This window comes from Homo sapiens, chromosome 3 (assembly GCF_000001405.40).
Source record: "Homo sapiens chromosome 3, GRCh38.p14 Primary Assembly".
Lineage (NCBI taxonomy): Eukaryota > Metazoa > Chordata > Mammalia > Primates > Hominidae > Homo > Homo sapiens.
This window is the reverse complement of record NC_000003.12, coordinates 193,866,398-193,887,074: the sequence shown is the minus strand read 5'-3', so window position 1 is coordinate 193,887,074 and position 20,677 is coordinate 193,866,398. Positions and strand designations below refer to the sequence as shown.

Here is a 20,677-nt window from a genome sequence, read left to right as displayed (position 1 = left end):
TGTGCACTTTGCATGTATCAAGATCCTTAATCCTCACAACAACAGCATGTGACAGGTACTATTTTTGCCATCTCTAGTCTAAGGATGAGGAACCTGAGATGTAGAGAATAATTTCGATAATTTACCCAAGGTCACATGGCCAGTAAGTGGCAGACTGGATTCAAATCCAGCTGTCAAGTTATTTTAGGTCAGAGCCTGGGCTCGTCATGTACCACTATTACCTTGGAAGAAGGAAGAAAAGGTAGAAACAAACACTTAGTAAGTGTTTATTAAGTGCCAGCTATTTTATACATTATGGTGTCGTTGAACCCCTACCACATATCCTTAGCCTCATGTTACAGCCACTAGGAAATGTGGACAGAGAGTTTAATGACTAGCTAGCAAAAGGCAGCCTTTATTTGTCTGACCATACACCTGTGCATTCTTCACTAAATAATGAAATTTCAGAGTAGCATTCATGCAAGAAAGCATGCTTAGGGAAGAAAGTCTCTTGCTTAGAGTTTCATCCTTTACTTAGTGCAGTTTTAACCAGTTTGCCTATCTGCTTTCCTTTTCAAAGCCAGGAAGTGTATGTGGGGTGGGAGCAAGAGGGAAGGTGGGTGAATTGCTGGAGAAATAAGTTTAATAGAGAAAATAAATGTCCAAGAGATGAGGATTATTAAACAAGCAGTATCCTAGCTATCCATCTTTGACTTCTTTGAGTGGAAGTTTTGGTTAAAAGCTATATGCTTTCTTTAAAGGAATCAAAGAAAGAGGTTGGATGAGTTTGTTAGCAGCAATGAATCTATACAGGTCTGTAGCAACCTCAATTCTTGATTCCTCAGAAGAAAGAATTTGACCGGGGGACATAAGGCAAAGTGAGACCAAGGCAAGTTTTATAGCAGGAGTGGAAGTTTACTAAAAAGTTTTAGAGCAGGGATAGAAGGAAGTAAAGTACAGTTGGAAGAGGGCCAAGTGGGTGACTTGAGAGATTCAAATGTGCTGTTTGACTTTTGACTTAGGGTTGTATAGTTTGGCCTGCTTCCAGTGGGGTGTGTCTGTTCTCCCCTGATTTTTCTCTTGGGGCGGACTGTCTGCATGTGCAGTGGGCCTGCCAGCACTTGGGAGGGGCCGCGTGTGCGGTGTTTACTGAGGTCGAGTGCATGCTCCTTGGAGGCATTTTTCCCTTACCAGTCTAGGGTTCCTAGATGAAGGTCACATACCAGTTAAATGAAGTCCATCGTTTTACCTCTCAATGCACATGCTTGAGCCCACTCGCCCAACTCCTGAGATCTTATCGGGAAGCTGCTGCCTACCAGGTTCGGGTGTTTTCTTTTCTTTTCTTTTCTTTGTTTTTTTTTTTTGAGATGGAGTCTCACTCTATTGCCCAGGCTGGAGTGCAGTGGCGTGATCTTGGCTCACTGCAAGCTCCACCTCCCGAGTTTGCGCCATTCTCTTACCTCAGCCTCCTGAGTAGCTGGGACTACAGGTGCCCACCACCACGCCTGGCTAATTTTTTTGTATTTTTAGTAGAGACGGGGTTTCACCATGTTGGCCAGGATGGTCTTGATCTCCTGACCTCGTGATCTGCCCGCCTGGGCCTCCCAAAGTGCTGGGATTACAGGCGTGAGCCACCGTGCCCGGCCAGGTGTTTTCTATCTATTGGGAGACTGCCTTTCCCTGGTGCTGGGTGCGATCAGTTATTATTTTAGGGAGCAGTGGAACAACTTCCTGACCATCACCTGATGGTTGTCTGACGTTCCTGGGGTGGGGGTGGGGGTCTGCCCTGCTTATGTCTGCCTAACTACCTACTGTTAACAAGTTAATCAGATAAATTTAGTAAGCTTTCAAAAGTTTGTATAAAAATAATCCTTAGTTAAATTTAGAACACAAAATTAAGTTCAAGTGAGAACTTTTCTAAACACAGAAAACAGTTTTAACTCTTCAAAGAATACATTGCCACTTACTCTAAACAACATAATATCAATACAATTGTTATTCCAAGATTATTAAACATATATCAGAAGGTATGCAGAGCTCAGATGGTACTTGTGGGTATGCCTGGGCTTGCTCTTTCTTTCTTTGTCTGCCTGGTGAACTTCTCTGCAGACTCAAGGACAAGGTCTTCGGGACTCTTCTGAGAAGTCAGCCCTACTCCTTCTCCTCCACCCGTCACTGCCCTGCAGTATTCTGGAGCTGTGGTTCTCACACTTTAGAGGACATCAGAATGAGGAGGGCTTATTAAAACACAGATTGCCAGCGCCACCCCAGGAGGTTCTGCTTCAGTAGTCTGGGTGGGGCTCCAGGATCTGTATGTCCCACAAGTTCCCAGCTGACTCTGCTGCTGCTTGCTCAGTGACTACACTTGGAGAACCACTGCCCCAGAGAAAACTCCTCTCTCGTCTGTGCTGCCCTGGCCTATTCAGTCATTTTATTTTGACTTGGGCCGAGCAGAGAATTTCTGTATCTTCTCAAGGGTCTGTGATCTTCTCGAAGAGAGAGTCCTGTTTTCAGGCCTTGGAGAAGGGTAATAGCAGAGAGTTGAGGGGCTTCCTGGGAGAGGGCTGTGGCTGATCCAGGGCTGAGGAGTCTATCCAGTAACAAAGGTGTAGTCACAGGTCTCTGAAAACTGCATCCCAACCCCAGTCCCTGCTGGACTCACAGGCTCAGTGGAAAGTAGAGAGCTGTAAACACAGAGGTAGTTAAAAAAAAAAAAAAGTAATGGCAGAAGCTGCCCTCTCTGCGACCCTGTAAGAAAGCATGAAACGAGGCAGAGAAGCGTCTTTTCATACTCCCAGACAAACCTCGCTTTTGTCATCCCAAGGAATTTAGGCCATTACTCACAATGCCTGAATGAGATGATGGTGCCCGACAGAGCCGGGCATCATCAAGGGCTGTGCTGCCCAATCCAGTAGTCATTGGCTACATGTGGCTGTATGTATGTAAATATAAATTACTTAGAACTAAAGAAAACCACACTAGTTTCATTTCAGGTGCTCAGTGGTCACAGATGGCTCACGGCCACCCTGCTGGACAGTTCAACTCTAGGACATGTCTATCATTGCAGAAAGTTCAGTCGGCTAGCACTACTGGAGGGACTTGGACAATGATGCCGCAAGAGCAAGATGGTACACAGGAAACCCGATGTAACGTGTTTGTGCCCCTCTCCCTGCATGCTGTTCTGTCCAAGAATTTGCAAAGACTGGCATACCCCACAGAATGATGCCTGGGAGCATATGATGCCTCTGCTTCTCCTTTTTCCTGTTCTCATGAGCCAGAACTTTAGTGCCAAGTGTGGTTGGGGTACCCGTGAGTCAGAAGAACACTGTTGGAGCTGAGAGTAGGATTGCCCCTGGTCAGGGGTGAGTCACTCTCTGGACTCCAAAAGGTCCAAGGGTCCTTAACATGGGGCTGAATGCCTGCCCAATGCCAAGGCTGTCGAGTCATACTTTTTCTTTTGTTCTTTTTTTTCTTTTTTGGAGATGGAGTGTTGCTCTGTTGCCTGGGCTGGAGTGCAGTGGCACAATCTCAGCTCACTGAAACCTCTGCCTCCTGGTTTCAAGCAATCCTCCCCCTCAGCCTCCCGAGTAGCTGGGATTACAGGTGCCCGCCACCACGCCTAGCTAATTTTTGTATTTTTAGTAGAGATGGGGTTTTGCCATATTGGCCAGGCTGGTCTTGAACTCCTGACCTCAGGTGATCTGCCCGCCTTGGCCTCCCATGGTGCTGGGATTCCAGGTGCGAGCCACCACGCCCAGCTGAGTCATGCTCTTTCTATTTCGGTCAGTGTTACTTGTGCCTCACCTTGCTTCTTCTGCCGCAGGAACCTCCCCTCCCCTCTCATACGCAGCGTGCATGCCTTTCTCTTGTCATTGCTCTTTGAAAGACAGCCTATGCATTTGAGTTAGGATTTGGGAATTTAAAAGGATGGCAAGTGAAAAAGCAGAGTTGGGTTATCTGGATCAATGATAGAGTCTCCAAGACCTGGTCTGGGGCTCTATATTCAGTAATGAGGTTTCCTAGCCTCCCCTGGTGACACACCCAGGTCTGATAAATCTCTCACCATAGACAAGTTTCCCAGCAGTAGGGAGCTTAAATGTTCCTTTACCTAATTCTTCCATAACTCATCATAAAATGGGAAAAAAAATTCTAATTTCCTCCTGGCTGGCTAAAACCTAAGAGAGATGGAAGGAAAAGGTGTTCCAGGGTGCTTTTGAGGTTGCACGTGGACCTGAGTTTTAGCAGATGGGCCTTTGCCTGCCTCTGCCATGGGGGCTCGCAGCTCCTCAGGCCTCGGTATCACAGAGGTCTTAGTCAACGGGTGGGTAACAAAACATGGACGCTGCTTTGGCACACAGGGCACACTGAGGGGAGGGAGAACAGTGTAAGAGAAGCATGCTCAGCCAGATAGTTGAAGGACGTCCCTCGTAAGCCCAAGCTGTGCCCACAATTGGGCTTTTAAAAGGTCTAGAATGGGTGGTGGTGGGCAACCAGAAGTTTGTTTGTATGAGAGCCAGGGAGATTAATTATTTTAAGAGGACAGGAATGAGGGCACTATAAGCTTGAATTGGTCAGTGCAAGGCCTAAGCTGGGATATGGGAGGAAATCCCACATGCATGGCGCTGTCTGCCAGTCAGGTTTGTCTCCCAATCCAGATTGTGGAGGGAAGGAGGAGGGTGAGAGCAGAGCTGCTACAGGCATCCTGTAAAAGCTGTTTGACTCCAAACTCCGTGAAACATGGAGCCCAGGCAGCACACTGATTGGGGAATTCTCTGGCCAACTGTGACGAAGTAAGATGTTGAGCAGAGGCATTCTTCCAGAGTTTCCCGCAGAACCCACATGGCTTTGGCCCTTGGAGAGCTCCAGGCCATCAGAGATGGTGCAGGAATGGGGTAGGAGACAGAGGAAGCCCTGCAGGAAGCCAGCAAAAACCTCACCTACCTTGAGAACTCAGCAATGCCGGAAGAGATTGAGATTCCTAGAGAATGGAGGAGCCGGGAACAAAGGAGAAGGATGGGATCCAGGAACAGGCCAAGAGAACCAGCTCGATGCTTCTTCCTCTCCCTTCTAGAAAATTCTGTTCAGAAGCCATTAGGTAAGGTAGAGCAAGGCAGGCCTCTGTAGCTGAGTGGGGAGGAAGTAGCGTGCCCAGAGCAGGAGGGTGGAGTCCACCGGGGTGAGATAGAGGCTCACACAAGGGCGGTGGTCCAGTGTGAGGTTGCCCATGTGGAGCGAGGAGGGTGCCAACATAGGAGGGGGCAGCCCAGCATGTGTCGGAGACCAAAGCAGGGTCCGAAGGGGGTCCTGTCCAGGGAGGATGTCCTGGCACGGAGACTCAGACCCTCAGTGGGGTGAGGAGGGGTCTACACAGAAGGTGGCCCAGGGCAGGATGGCAGAACTAGAGGGGTGAGGAGAGTGTCTATTGCAAGGGCACCTTGCGCTTGGAGTCAGTGCCCTGGGGAAGTGGGAAGGGCATCCACATGGAGGGTGGCCCAGGGCAGGATGCTGCTGTCCAGGCAATGGAAGGAAGGTGTCCTCAGGAAGGGTGGTACCGCATGAGTGTCCTACCTGAGCAGAGAGAGGAAGGTGTTTCAGTGACCGGCAGGGTGGCTGAGAATCCCACTCTGCTTTGTGTCCTGAGCCTCACAGAGCACAAGGCATTTAGTAGCTGCCCAGGTAATGGTAATTGTTAAATGGATGATGAAATAAATGAGAAAAATCTGGATTCAACTCTCATCTTGACCATATATTAGCTATGGAACTTTGGATATGATCTTCATCTCCATCAGTGGGATACTGTGTATGAAACTACTCAGAAAAGCTAAAGGAGCTGATTTTACTCCACCTAACAGGAAAGAAGGCTCTGCCATTCTTTGCTGTGCAAGCGTTCCTCATATCAAAGAATGGCAGAGCCCTCTTTCCCTTTGGGTGGAGTAAAATCAGCCTAGCCTTCCCTTAGCGGGTACCATGCTGCCCAGCCTCAGGTGCGTCCTTTGTGAGGTGAGAAGTGTATGGAGCTGCTGAGTGATGTGTGGCTACAGTGGATGCGGAGAAACTCACCTGCAGGGAGAGAACAGGCTGTGGCCATTGGTGTGCAGGCCTGTGGACTTTCCGCATGCGTTGTTCAGCTTATTCAGCCTTGGTGGTCTCTGAGATCTATGGCAGTGAGCGTCTGCTCCCTCTCACAGCAAACACCACACTTTCACTGAAAAATGAGGCTATTAGTCTTGTTCACAGAGCACCAGGATCCCTCCCAGTTCTTTCATGTGTTTGTTTGTTGTTTTTTGAGACAGAGTCTTGCTCTGTTGCCCAGGCTGGAGTGCAGTGGCGCAATCTCAGCTCACTGCAACCTACGCCTCCTGGGTTCAAGCAATTCTCTTGCCTCAGCCTCCCGAGTTGCTGGGATTACAGGCGCCTGCCACCATGTCTGGCTACTTTTTTTGTATTTTTAGTAGAGACATGTTGTATTTTAGTGGAGATGTTGGCCAGGCTGGTCTTGAACTTCTGACCTCAAGTGACTATGGTTCTACAATCCGAGTTCTCCTGTTGGACCAGTCGAGTGACCTTGGGCAAATAGCCTCCTGGCCTGGGCAGCTGAGGACAGTGTGTGAGCTGTGTTCTGAGGCCTCAGGCCTCAGAATTTCCCTCCTGACACTGTGGGCCTGAGCAGACAGAAAGGACAAACTTCCTGCCCAGAGCGTGTGGTCTGAAGGTGCCTCGGAGACCCTCTGATCAATCTTTGACCCCTTCCCCCACACACACTACAGCAGTTACGTGTCTGTTAAAATACACGTTCATAAAAGACCACCTACTAAATAATTTTTAAGTTGTTATTCTAAACCAAACTATTTTGAACTTTTGTAAATGCAGTTTTTATTTTTAATTAATGACATTATCTTTGCAGCCCTGAATCAGACTTTCCTGGACACTTTTGGGTGTTCTTATCTGCATCAATGGGGCCTCAGTTAGCATTTTAAAGGTGACATTGCCCCAGATTTTATCTCCACCAGATCTTCTCTTCTGAACTGCAGATCCAGATATCAAACGGCCTCTTGCACATAATGACTTGGCTATCTCTCAGGTCCTCCCTGTCCACAGGGTGGGTTCTCAACTTATCAACTCCCTCCTCTGACACCACTCCTCCCCTGAAAGGGTCCTCCCACTCCCCTCAGAGAACAGCAGCACTCACAGCAGTCAGCCCCTAAATCCAGCTGATCTTTGTCTCCATTGCCAATATCACTGTTCCAGGCACCATCCTCTCTCGCTGGTATTACTGCAAACTGCCACCCAGCTGGTCTCTCCACCTCCAGCCTTGCCACGCTGCCCCCTTGCCCCGTCCATGTCAGACTCTACCACGCTGACCTTTGGAAAATGTAACTCTGTATGCATCACTTCCCTACTGAAAACTCTGATAGGTCACTATGCCCTTTAAGATAAAGTCTGAAATCCTCAGCAGGGTTGATAAGCAGCTCTATGTGGGACTCGCTTTTCCAGGTTAGCAAGGGACTTCCCTGATTTTAGCACTGAAGTCCTGAATTCTCCTTAGTCCTTGGCAAACTGGATGGCTCACCACTCCCCTCTTCTCCTCATTCCTCTGCCTCACCCCTACCCCACACTCACCCTCTGTCTGTCCCCTCAGCAGTCTTCCTCCTGCTACTGTGAATGGTCTCTGCCCCAGCCCCTTTGCTTTGTAACTTTGAGATCCCCCTCCTAGTCTCAGTGGGCAGATGGCTTCCTCCATGCTGTCTCCTGGACACCCCGGGTCAGGTGACTCGCCCCTGCTGGGTGGCACTCTTAGTTCCCCTTGTGGCACTTAAATGCGTTATTTCAATCACTGGGTTACCGGAGGTCTCCTTCCATGACTGTAGATGCTGCAGGCAGAAGCTGAGTCGTGTTTGCCCCCGTCATCACCTGTTGTCTGGCACAATTGCCTGCTGCGGATTTCAGTGGTGATTTTTAGGTGAATCGTGATGCACCCAGGCACAGCCTATACACAGAACGTTGTGTTTATCTGTTATCTTGGCTCTGAGACAGGCAGTCTCAGAAAGTGAAAAATAGCTGGTTTATAAATACATGATAAAATGTTGACAATCACTCATAATTAAGTAGACATACATTAAAATAATAACGTTCACTTTTTTCGTTGAGACAGAGTTTTGCTCCGTTGCCAGGCTGGGGTGCAGTGGCATGATCATGGCTCACGGCAGCCTCAAGCTTCTGGGCTCAAGGTATCCTCCTGCCTCAGCCTCCTGAGTGGCTAGGACTATAGGCACATGCCACCAAACCCGACTAATTTTTTTTTTTTTTTTGTAGAGATGGGTTTTACTGTGTTGCCCAGGCTGGTCTCAAATTCCCAGCCTCAAGCAATCCTCCCTCCTTGACCTCCCAGAGTGCTGGGATTACAGGTGTGAGTCACCATGCCCGGCCTAAGGTTCATTTTTTACCTACTAGATTCATAAAGGTCACACAATGTGAAGAAGCGGAGGACACCAGCAGGCGCTCTCCTCCCTGGGGTAGAAGCATAAATCTGCGAGAACCCTTGAAGAGTAACTTGGCAATCTTTCCTAAAAGCTTACCTGTACATAGTTTTTTTTCACAGTTTCACTCCTAGAAATGTATTCTACAAATACTCTTAGAGATTTGTACAGAAAAGAGCAAACAAGAATATTCAACACATCATTGTTAGCAATGAAAATAAAAGGGAAAAAAATACCCTACCTATCCATCAAAAGGAAACTCGTTAAATAAATTAGGCAAGTCCTTCTAACAGAGTATTATAAAGGAATTTTTTCAATGAGGTAGATTTACATAAGGTTATATGAAGCAATCCTCAAAGCAGGGGGAGGGGGCAGGAAATGAAAAAGGTCTACAATTTGTTTATTTTTGTTGTAATTTTAAAAGGAAATATGCACATGTGTTAATATGCATAAAAATATTTCTGGAAGAATACACAAGAAACTCGTAGCAGTAATTACCTCTGGGGAGAGAGACTGGGATCTGGGATAGGAGAGAAATTTATTCATTCTATATTCTGTCTTAAGTGTTTAAATAATTTATTACAGGCATAAATTCACCCTTTTTTTTTTTTTTTTTGAGACGGAGTCTCGCTCTGTCGCCCAGGCTGGAGTGCAGTGGTGCCATCTCGGCTCACTGCAAGCTCCGCCTCCTGGGTTCACGCCATTCTCCTGCCTCAGCCTTCAGAGTAGTTGGGACTACAGGCGCCTGCCACCACGCCCAGCTAATTTTTTATATTTTTAGTAGAGACAGGGTTTCACCATGTTAGCCAAGTTGGTCTTGATCTCCTGACTTTGTGATCCGCCTGCCTCGGCCTCCCAAAGTGCTGGGATTACAGGTGTGAGCCACCATTCCCGGCCATAAATTCATTTTTCAATACTACAAAAAGAAAACTCCGTGTTTTTTTTTTTTTAAAGAAGAAAAAAGCTAGCTAGAAAAAAGCATCTGCCCGAGGTTCTAGCAATTTTCCTTCCTTCCTTCCTTTTTCCATCTTTTCTTTTTTTTCTTTCTTTCTGCCCATGCTCTCCTCCTTTCTAAGAAAACTGTCTTTCCAGAATCTTCTAACAATATTAAGTAATAAGATTAGACTAGCTCTTCGTCTCTGAGCTGGGAGTCCAGGCTGGACTGGGTGAGTTTACCCTTGCGTGAGGCTGAGTGCTAATGTCTCTCACTTACTAATGGGGTACCTTGCAGCCTGCCTTTCATCCTCCTGCCCACCTTCTCCCCAGCCATGTCCTGGCATCAGCTGCAACAGATCCCAGCTTCTCACTCCTCCCACTTTCTGCTCAGGGGCTCCTCTGCCACCATGATGTGAGATGCTGAGGACACTCATTTTGTCATTGTGATATGTTTGGAAACCTGGCTGTGGGAGAGGGTTAACAACCCCCGGGATGACCTGTGATCCATGGGGTCATCCCTCACAGCTTGCTAGGGGTCCCCAGCGGTATCGAGCTCCAGTTTCTCACTGGCCTGACCAGCTCAATAATTTACCTTGGTTGGCTTGTCCTCTTTCCGTTTGACTCTTCCGAGCCTCTCACTCCTGTTTCTTGGGATCACTTTTCAAAGTAAACCACCATGTTGTGCTAGGCTCTGCTTGTTGCAGAAACCCAGGCTAAGACACCATCTTTCATCACTCCTGGAGAGTTCTGGAGTCCTTGTAGACCTGTGGATTAAGACCACACTTCATTCAAAGAGATCCAACAATTTTCCCTGGGAGTTCCTCTCTCTCGCTTTCTCTTCCTGAGATGTAACCTTTCCCCTCTAGGTCCTTAGGCCTGCCTTTCTTCCTCTCTATTAATGTGAGGATGGCATTTTGCTTTGTGCCCCCCCACCTCAAATTCTGTATTGAAATTCAATCAGCAATATGATATTAGGAGGTGGGGCCCTTGGGAGGTGATTAGATCACCACCTTTGGGATAGGATCAATGCCCTTATTAAGGAGACACCAGAGAGCTGCCTGGTCTCTTCCACCATGTGAAGACACAGCTAGAAGGTACCACCTCTGTACCAGAGAGTGGGTCCTCACCAGACACCAAGTTTGCTGGCTCCTTGATCTTGAACTTCCCAGCCTCCAGCACTGTGAGAAATAAATTCCTGTTGTTCATAAGCCACCTCGCTTGTAGTATTTTGTTAAAGCAGCCTGAATGGACTAAGGCACCTTTATAAACCTAGGCATTCTATTCTAAAATTGCCTTCCAGTCCAACAGAAGCATGTTATAGATTCTCCAGGTAGAAGCATTTGTTGTAAAAATTAACTGTACCCTTGACATTGAGATCATCTTGTATCAATTTTAGATCCCTGAACTCTGATTTGATGATTTAAAAAGCAGGAGAACCTCTGAATCTAACTCATTCCAGTCCCTGCGGTGGAAGGCAAACATAGTTCACTCATTTGGAAACCAAGGTTCCCTGCACAGAAAGTGCCAGGCCAACCCAGCGAGCCCTGATGCAAGGTCACTATTTATTTTGTCATCCTGAGGCGAGAGTTCCTTCAAGGGGCTGCTGTTGGCTTTCAAACAAGCCTGGAAAATTGTCTGGTGGCCTCTTTGATCCTGCCCCTTTTTCTGGGTGGTGCTCTCTCTTTTCTCTGTGTTCCACTTTCAAAATAAACCATCTCAGTTGGCTGTGATAAATTCAGTGAAGGAAATTTCAAGTTGAGAATGGTGAGAAGACCTGCAGAAGGGAAGCTATAAATAGCCCACTTTTAATGGCTATAGTAACATAATTCCCTTTACATTACTGTCTGCCATTAAGCAATAAGTAACATTGTAACTTGAAAATCGGACCAAAATAGATTGCACCATCTACCCAGACCCAATATGGTATGTGTAAATATGCAACACTGCCCTATTATTTATAGATCTATGATTTTCCTTATGAAACGGATTCATTTGGGTGCTCTGTAGACCTGAGTTAACTTGATCCAACAAAATCCAACTTTGTCATAGAAACCTACAAGTTTAGAGCAAGGGGGACTTTTAGGAATCACGGAGTTGAAAGCCTGTCCTTTGCCTAAGCTCATGCAGGGACACAGGGATGGGTACATGTGAGAAGGAAGTAGAGACTGATTCCAACTGAACACCTGGAGAAAGGCCTCGGATTCTCAGATTCAATGAAAGGGGCCTTCACATGCCTTTGTTATCTATCACAACATGAGATCTGGAGGCTGCAATCACCATTGTTCAGTGGAGGAAATAGGTTCACAGAGTGAAGTGACTTGATCCAAGTTACATAGTAAATCAATGGCAAGGAATTGGACTGGAACCCAATTCCAACTTAAGGCTAGTATTTTTCCTTTCATAGTGGTAGCTCCATTGTTTCTGGCTTCTAGAGTCTTGGGCTGGTCAGCTTTGATTGACACGTCCACAGTAAGAGTCCCAGCCCTGCCCCGCCTCCCACCTATACCTCAGCACCTCAGTAGGTTTCTGTGACCCCTCCCTTTCTTAGCCTCAGGTTTGTTCACACTACAGATGGGGTGAGCCACCCCAAGCCCCTATCACCACATCGTCTCCCACTCCTGGCCCCAAATGCTTTCCCCTGGCCATGCTCCTTTCTTATTATTCTGAACCCCTTGTCAGTTGTTTTCTGTACTTTATCCCTGAATAGTCCTTTCAAAACAGAACATTTACAATTTCCTTCTTTAAGAAAAGAGTACTTAAAAAAACAAAAACGAAAGCCACGTTTGTGATTCTCGCTTCTTCCATTACTTACCTTCTAATTTTCCAAGTCTTGGCTTGGCATTCAGGGCCCCCTGTAATTAGGCCCCTGCAATGTGGATCACCTTCTCCCTATCCCTGTGTTGCTTGTACCTCTATTACAACATTGCACACGCTCAGCCCTGCTACCTCTATTACAACATTGCACACGCTCAGGCCTGCTACCTCTATTACAACATTGCACCTGCTCAACCCTGCAATATTCCAACTAAAGAGCATGGGACACTGAATTCGTTTTTATGTCCAGTAGAACATCTGCCACACAGTCACGCACATAGTAGGTGTCCAGTGACAGTGTATTGAATGGAATGGGCTCATTCCTGCTTCCTGCAGCATGGTCCCTATGGCCTGTCTAGAGCACATCTTTCTATCTGGGGGCAAGTTTGGGCCTGTCACCCCCTGCAGTAGACACTAACACACAAAGGGGTGAGATTAGCCCCTGTGCATAGTTCCAAAGAACGAGCTGGCCTAAATAATACTTCTGAGTGTGCTACCAGTGCAACTGAGTTATTTCTTAAACCATCACATCCAGGTGCCTAGTATGTTTCTAGGAACTTTATCTGAAAGCATCAATTTCTGTCACTGATCCCCCAAATTGTAATTGCTCAAGACCAAGTGAGGACTAAAACTCCGCAGGCATGACAGCCCTGTGTTTTGGTGCTACATGCGGGGGGACTGAATGTCTTACAGAGGAGCTTACAGTCTAATGGGGTGGGGTGGGCAGGGAAACAAACCTGCAGAGAGCGACAATAGGCAAGACAAGAGCATGAAGAGAGACACTGTGTATGGGTAGGGGTGGCTGGGAGAATGAGGATTACATGACAGAGTTTATAGAAAGTGCCTGGCACATAGTAGGTGTTCAGTAAATGGTAACGAGTCATATTCTCACTACCACACAAGCAGCTGGGTTCACAGAGGATCAAGGCCTGTGCCTCCCTCTGACTGCCATGCCTCTTCCTCCCCTATCCTGCCCACTCCCTCTGCTCCGGCCTGGTCTTCTGATCATGAGGAACATGCCAAGTTCTTTCTTTCCCCAGCAGGGAAAAGCTATTCCTTATTCCAGAAATCTGTGTTCCCAGCTTAGGGCAAGACTGGCTGCTGCTTGCTCTTTAGGTCTCAGAATAAATGCCACCTCCCCTTGCCTGACCACTGCACTGCCCTGCCCCAGAGTTATTCTCTATCACATCACACTGGCTAGTTCCTTCTTTGCAATTACCAGAAGCTCTAAAAATTTTGTTTCTTTCTTTGCTTGTTCCTTGTCCCACTAGGCTTCAGGCTCGAGACAGAGAGGAACCGCCTCTGTGTTTTTCACTGTCGTGTCTCAGTGCTGGGAGTGTACTCCATGTGGTCAGTGTGTGATCAATTTAACTGTGCCTGAGGGTTCTGAGAAGACCTCACAAATGAAGGTACCTTTGACCAGAGCCACGGAGAGGGGACAAGAGTTTACCCACCAGGCGCTGCAAAGCTGAGGTGGCAGGTCAGGACTTCCAGTGAGAAGGAGGTACTGGTAAAGGAGACTGTTATTATGAGCAGCTCCGTCCAGGAGAAGCCAGGGTTCCTGGTCCAAAACAGCACCCTAGGTTCAAATAGGAATACCCTGGGGTTGGAGGTGAGGGAAGGGTGGTGGACAGCTCACTCAGCTATCAGAAGCTGAGGGATAAGTCCCCTTCCTCCAATCTGGGCTTTCTTAGCAGCCTTTTGAGCTGGAATTTGTTTTGTTTTGTTTTGTTTATGGTGGGACCTACCCACTGTGCAGGGAGGATCTTATCAGGTGGCCAAGCTTGTTTTTTGTTTGTTTGTTTTGAGATGGAGTCTTGCTCTGTTGCCCAAGCTAGAGTACAGTGGTGTGATCTCGGCTCACTGTAACCTCTGCCTCCTGGGTTCAAGCAATTCTCCTGCCTTAGCCTCCCACGTAGCTGGGACTACAGGCGTACACCACCATGCCCAGCTAATTTTTGTATTTTTAGTAGAGACGGGGTTTCACCATGTTGGCCAGGATGGTCTCGATCTCCTGACCTCATGATCTGCCCATGTAGGCCTCCCAATAAGCCTGGTTTTTGGAACAATACAAATAATGAAAATTTTAAGTACTGACATTTATTGAGCTCCTATTGTACTATTTTACACACATCTGGTTTAAGCCACAGCCACTGCACAAGATTGGCATTTTTCCCCATTTCCAGAGGCTGAAACTGAGATTGAGTTTCATGTCCAAAGAGTGAGTAACATGTGTAAAGTCATGGGGCTAGGAAGTGGTGGATGGAGTTTCAAACCCAGCTGTGTTTGACCCTGAAGCCAGGGCGCTAAACCACAATCTTTTTTCTGGCCAGTGTATCTCACAGGTGAATCAATTCACTGGGTTTGGCGCATTCCCTTGTGGGCTGAGTCACCATAAGTCAGACTGCCTGAACCTGTTCCTCTCTGGGAGGCTGATAGAAACCTAATCTCTAAACTGACAATGCCAGGGGCAGGACTCTGGACTTTGGTAACCCCATGATGGGGTGGCTCCCTACTCTCCCACTCAGAGCTGCAGATAGCTTTTCTCCAGGACAGCAGGACTCAAGGGTGCTATGGGGGTTAGTTATTGCAGACATCTTGCTTTGCTTTGCTGTAGAGTGGGGTGGCTAAGAGCTTGGGTAGAGGCAGACAGACTGGTTTGAAATCCAGCCTTTGCACTTCGTAGCTGTGTGACCTTAGCTTGGGCAAGTTTCTTTACCGCTCTGTGCTTCAACTCTCATCTTTAAAATGAGGCTGAGAACAGTCTCATGGTGCTACTGTGAGGATTACGTGAAAAAACGCGCTTGCACATAGCAAACCCTCAGCAATCATTAGCCTTTATCATTGCTGTTGTTGTGACTGGTATATATATATATACTTTTTTTTTTTTTTTGAGTGGAGTTTCACTCTTGTCGCCCAGGCTGGAGTGCAATGTCGCAATCTCGGCTCACTGCAACCTCCGCCTCCTGGGTTCAAGTGATTCTCCTGCCTCAGCCTCCCGAGTAGCTAGGATTACAGGCATGCACACCACGCCCGGCTAATTTTGTATTTTTAGTAGAGATGGGGTTTCACCATGTTGGCCAGGCTGGTCTCAAACTCCTGACCTCAGGTGATCCACCCGCCTCGGCCTCCCAAAGTGCTGGGATTACAGGAGTGAGCCACTGCACCCCGCCTGTTGTGAATAGTCTTAAGGGGAGGCGTAGTGGGATGTAATGGGCTGGAGTCCTAGGCCACCACTTTTTAGCCATGTGACCTTTGAGATGAACTATTAAACTTCATCCCAGAATCTTTCTAAATTCTCCAAAGTTAAAGATGAGATTTAATAGCTCATCTATTAAAGATTTCTGGGATGGCATTCTTAAAATTAAGATTAGCTTCTGTTAAGGAATTAGAAAACACCAGAGGTAGGGAATGGTCCCTGTCACATATAGACAGCATTTGCCCTAAACCATGCTCTGGTCAAGAGGAGGCTGAGGACTTCTGAGCCATTTGCCTCTCATCAGAACGTCCTGGGTGTAGTGTCAGAGAGTGGCTGTATTGGCTTGTCTGAACAGCTAGTGTGTTGCTTTGGTTTGAGCTGAAAGATTGTTCTAACAAAGGTGCATGGTGACTATGGTCAGCATAGGCGTTAGGAGAGGAGGGGCCGTCTGTGCACACTGTCCTGGGTGTGCCCATCCTCAGGAGCTCAGCTGTGTAGTGTGTGGCAGCCTGTCCCCCTGACTCCCGCCGGTGAGGTTCACAGATGGTCAGAGCTCCCAGGTGCGGCTCTAAAGCTCTGGCTCTGCTGCCGTGGCCCCAGGCAACCTGGCTGGCTCATGGGCTTCAGCTTCTCACATGTGGAAGAGCACAGATCATCCTTCACCCCAGTATCCCGGTAGCTGACCTCAGACTTTCTGAGTGTGAGTTGACTTGAGTAGCCCTGAGATGCTGACGTCCTCTGAGTACATCAACAACAGGGAGTTTCTGGGCTGCAGGCTGAGAACCCGTGTTTGTCACAAGGCGGCCCCACAGAGTTACCACCACTCTAAGGCCCTGCCAGAGCCAGCAACAGATTATTCCAGAAGGCACCTGTCTCCCAATCACCTTCTCTATCTGGAACAACACCTCCCTCAGGGTTGGGTAAAGTATTAAATATCTGTGCCTTGCATACACTCACTCAGTGCTCAACAAATGCTGGTTCTTTCCCAGTTTCTGTAATCTGTATGACCTATCTTGACCAAGAGATTGTCATCATCCTGAGGCCCGGGGCCCAGGCTGCTGTTGCGCTGGCCTCTCTCCCTCACTCTCCAGTAAGCCCTGTCCCAGGCTGGCCTCTCCCTCCGGGGCTGTCTTATCCACGCTTGGGCTCCAACCACCTTGACCCTTCTCCACCTGTCAGTCACGCCCCAGGTGTTCCCTGAGTCACGCAACAGCTATATAGTAGCTCCGCAGACCAACAGCAGGCCGACAGCGTAGCACCTGAGTTCTAGATCTACCACTGTTCATGCGGGACCTGGCATAAAGCATTCCCACGTCTCGGCCTCCATTTCCCCATCTGTGAAACGAGAGCACTGGTCAGCTCTTCACATGCAGCGTTTGTGGGATGAATCCTTCCATCTGTCCATCCATCCCGCCAACATCCATGCACAAACATTTAGCACCTGCTGCATGCTGTCAGGGACTATGGCAGGAAAAGAGTTGAAACAGACACGTCCCAGGCCTCCAGCCCCTCACACCACGGAGAGGAAACAGATGCCCGCAAAGGAGGAGGCACCCCTCAGGGGGCCAGCGCTGCGACACGGTGGAGGCAGGGAGGCCGTCTCTAAGCAGCCTGCGAGTCCCCGCGCTGCACCGTGGCTTTGAGGAGTGGCGGGGGCCGAGGGGCCGGTCTCTCTTCCGGGGGAGATTCCTCCCCTCACCCCGGCATTACTCAGCGCCCTGAACTGTCTGCCTCCCTCCAGCCGGCCCTCCTCGTCTTCCTGGAGCGCAGCACAAAGGTCCTGTTGTGGCCGCGGCCCGGGCCGCGGGCGAGCCTCTCTGGATGGTGGTGACTCAGTCTCTTGCCATTTCCTTTGTGCGGCTCCGGGGCTCCTCGCTGGGAGCGGAGTGTGTCTGCAGGGCTGGGGGCGGGAGCCGGGACCCACAGCCCGACAGCGAGCCTTTCATGTGGGCAGGGGGCTTCCCGCACGCAATGCGAACCTACGCCTGGAGCTTCCCAAAGACAGCGTCCGGCGCAGGAACGCGAGATGCTGGCCGCCTCGCCTCTGGCCCCCGCGAGCATCAAAGCGCGTGCCGTCGAGGGGGCACGTGTCCCCCATCGGGCGCGCCTCTGCTCCTAGTCCCCTGAATGAACACATCCTTATGAAAAGTGGAAATTAGCCGCCGAAGGGAAGGGCCCGGAGAGCTTGGGAAGCGACCTAGGCTGCCAGCCTCCCGGCGGGTCTTTGGTCCCAGCTCTGATGACCTGTCAGCAGCCGCAGGACCTGCGCTTAAAGGCGCCTCTCCAGGCCTGGCTCAGGGTGGGGCTCCTCGTGCTCAGCACCCTGGTCAAGGTTAGGGCTGGGTGTGCGCTGGAGGCTTGGAGTGCCAGGGCACCCAGTGAAGAGCGAATGAATGAACGAGTGAACACCGGACTGGGGGCCTGCAGACGGTTCTTCGCAGGTTAATTAGAAGGCCTCTAGCAAGCTGCAGCGGAGGCATTTCAGGCATCCTTCAGAGAGGACCCTCGGCCTGGCTCCTAAGGGCCCCTGGTCTGGCTCTCACCCCCTGCTCTGGTGGCATTTCTGCTCACTCAGCCTTTACCCTTTACACGCCAGCCGCTCTGAACAGTTTATTCTTCTGGGAGCACATCATGTTCTTGCTCACATCCAGGTTTTGCGTAAGCTGTTCCTGCTGCAAGGAAAACCCTTCCTGTGTCCTCCTCAGGTGAGAGCTCCCGCAGGCAGCTTCTCCCCGGAGTCTGGCGTAAGTGTTCCTCCTCTGCACGCCTCTGAGGACATTTGCAAAGGTCTGTCATAGGGCTTACCACCCCGTTACCTGTTTGTTTCCACCAGGGAGTGCGCTGAAGCTGAGAGGGAATGAGTGAGTGAATGAAGGGCTTGAGAAAGGAAATTTCTTCACCCTCCAGTGCCCTCTGGGTGGGTATTGAGACAAGCTCTACAGGAAGCCTAAGAAAACTAACTGCTCTAATTCTGTCCTTCCTTTTGCAATGTTTAGGCAACTCCTGTGCATCTGTAGGTACCATTGTGAGGTTACTGCCCTGGACTGGGGAGAGATCCACACACGCAAGAGTGCATCTGGCATCAGTATGTAAGAGTCAAAACTGACACACAGTTCTTCATCTCATGGAAATGAAAACATGCATGGCCGGAATGATCTTATACCTGCTTCTCTTGGGCCAGGTCACCAGGCTGGCCCTGAGAAGTATGTGATGGCATGGAGAAGAATCCTCACACATCCTTGCAGTTCTCTAGGATTTGCAAGGCATTCCCCCCATTGCTGGACTCACTGGATTTGAGTAGGCCTGTCTGCCCCTATTTTAGAGATGAGCATATACACCTTACAAAAACTGAGTCTTGCTCAATGTCTGGCAAAGAAGTCTTCCTTTATCCAACAATCCTGAGAGTCTAGCGGGTGTTGGGCACCATAAAGATGAATGAGGTGCGGTTCTTGCCACCAGGCAGTGCCCGGGCTTGTCAGGGAGACCCATGTGGAGCATGACAATTGCTACCTTCTTGATACGGGCAAAAGGATGTTGAGTCCAGTGGAAGGAGAGGCTTGTCTGGCTGTGAGATCAGCAAAGTCTTCACAGAAAAGGAGAATTTTAAATGGGGCCTTGAAGGGGAAGTGTCTCCTGGAGATGGAGAGAACATAGCGAGGAGAGTGCGGTGAGGTGGGGGGTGGCAGGGGAAGCACATCACTACGCGGTGCTTAGGGCCGAGTCTGAGCCAACCTGGGAGTGGCACTCAGCTCCCCCAGGCCCCCGAGATGCATGTTCAGCAGCATCCAGCGGCCTCCTGTGAAGCGACTGGGAGTCCACAGAGACAACAAAAGCAGATGTAGTGATGTGTAAACTTGAAGTTTCTAGAAGTTCCTTTGGGCCCCACCAAATCTCTGTGGCAATGAACCAATCCCACATGTTCCTGTGGGTAATGCTCCCAGAGGGCATGTGACTTTGGGCATCATTATTGGCTGAAAAAGGAAACTGGGGTAGTAGTTAGAGAGTGCTATGAACTGAATGTTGTGTGCCTCCCAAATCTGTACACTGAACTCCAAATCCCACTGTGGTGGTATTAGGTGAGGGGGCCTTGGGAGGTCATTAGGTCCTGAGGGTAAATCCCTCATGAATGGGATGAGTGCCCTCACACATGAGACCCCAGAGAGCTCTCTGGCGGTCTTTCTACCATGTATGGCTGCAATGAGAGGTCTGCAGCCTGCACCTGGAAGGAGGCCCTCAATGAACCTGACCAGACTAGCATCCTGTTCTCAGACTTCTGGCCTCCCAAACTGTGAGAAACAAGTTTCTGTTGTGTATAAACCATCCAATCTATGATAGTTTGTTATAGTAGCCAAACCGACTAGGACAGAGAGGATGTAAGGAGCCAGTGGAGGACTCTTTTAATGGAGAGACTACAGCATGTCTCAGGCTGAATGGTCCAGTAGGGAGAGCAAAAACAGTGCCCATGCATCACCCTGAGGTCTCACCCAACCCTGCTGGAACTGACTTTAGTGCCCTCTTCCAGTGTTCCCCGCATGACCTGGTGGGTGCACACCTGGCTGCTTGCATTCACACCGTCCCTCTCCACTTCTTCCTTCTCCCCAGCTCTCTTCCTGTCAACCCTGGCATTGCCTTTGTTGGCTACTGAGAGAAGACCAGAAATATCCATCTAGTCAGACTTGCCTGCTCCTGGGAAGAAAACAAAAATGCAAAGAAAAGGTTCTCAGGGAGATTGAGCCAACCTGGGAGTGGCCCTCAGCTCCTCCAGTCCCCAGAGACCCATGCTCTGCAGCATCCAAGGGGCTCCTGTGAAACTGTTGGGAGGCCAATGACACTCTGTCCCACGTTGTGGATCTATTTTGTGGTCTCTGTATCCTTCACTGCTTTTTGTGGACATTATTGTATTAGATTCCTTTGGAAATGATGATCCAGCTAATGGCCAGTTAGTAGGAAACATCACGACCCTCCCCCCAAATTCCAGCCTCTTGCTGAAAGGGTGGGGCCTGGGAAATCATATGGTATTGCTCCTGGTCACCACAGACCAGTGGTGGCTTTGGGCCAAATTCTGGCCCAGCCAATCCCCCCCACCTTTTTTTTTTTTTGAGAGAGAGAATTTGAGGTAAGAGACACAGAGACTCAGGTTAGGAGGATGCTTGAACTGAAAGGTCCTGAGACAGCAGGACAGGAGCTAGTACCATGCAGAACACAGCAGGAGCCACAGGCAAGCCTGAACTGTGGGAGAGAGAAAACGAAGGGCCTTCCAGAGAGGTCCAGT

The 20,677-nt window shown here is 49.1% G+C and overlaps 1 long non-coding RNA gene across 1 annotated transcript, besides 3 other annotated features; it reads right to left on the bottom strand.

Moving 5' to 3' along the window:
• Positions 3,043 to 4,242: an enhancer, noted in NCBI's record as "CDK7 strongly-dependent group 2 enhancer chr3:193600622-193601821 (GRCh37/hg19 assembly coordinates)". NCBI's record gives its function as "activates an origin of replication core promoter dependent on BRD2, BRD4, P300/CBP, MED14 and CDK7 cofactors, with strong dependence on CDK7, by STARR-seq in HCT116 cells {active_cell/tissue: HCT116}" and the evidence as "EXISTENCE:reporter gene assay evidence [ECO:0000049][PMID:35650434]".
• Positions 5,335 to 12,292, bottom strand: LOC105374286 (uncharacterized). Its single transcript, XR_001741076.2, has 5 exons — positions 12,205 to 12,292; positions 9,985 to 10,156; positions 7,823 to 7,966; positions 6,040 to 6,184; positions 5,335 to 5,547 (listed from the first exon to the last, which is right to left on the bottom strand). It is a non-coding gene; the product is annotated as an uncharacterized LOC105374286 (long non-coding RNA).
• Positions 16,876 to 17,605: an enhancer, noted in NCBI's record as "H3K27ac-H3K4me1 hESC enhancer chr3:193587259-193587988 (GRCh37/hg19 assembly coordinates)". NCBI's record gives its function as "activates a minimal SCP1, AML or CMV promoter by ChIP-STARR-seq in naive H9 embryonic stem cells {active_cell/tissue: H9 hESC(naive)}" and the evidence as "EXISTENCE:reporter gene assay evidence [ECO:0000049][PMID:30033119]".
• Positions 17,141 to 17,435: a silencer, noted in NCBI's record as "tiled region #3366; K562 Repressive non-DNase unmatched - State 8:EnhW". NCBI's record gives its function as "represses a minimal TATA promoter and a strong SV40 promoter by Sharpr-MPRA in K562 cells {active_cell/tissue: K562}" and the evidence as "EXISTENCE:reporter gene assay evidence [ECO:0000049][PMID:27701403]".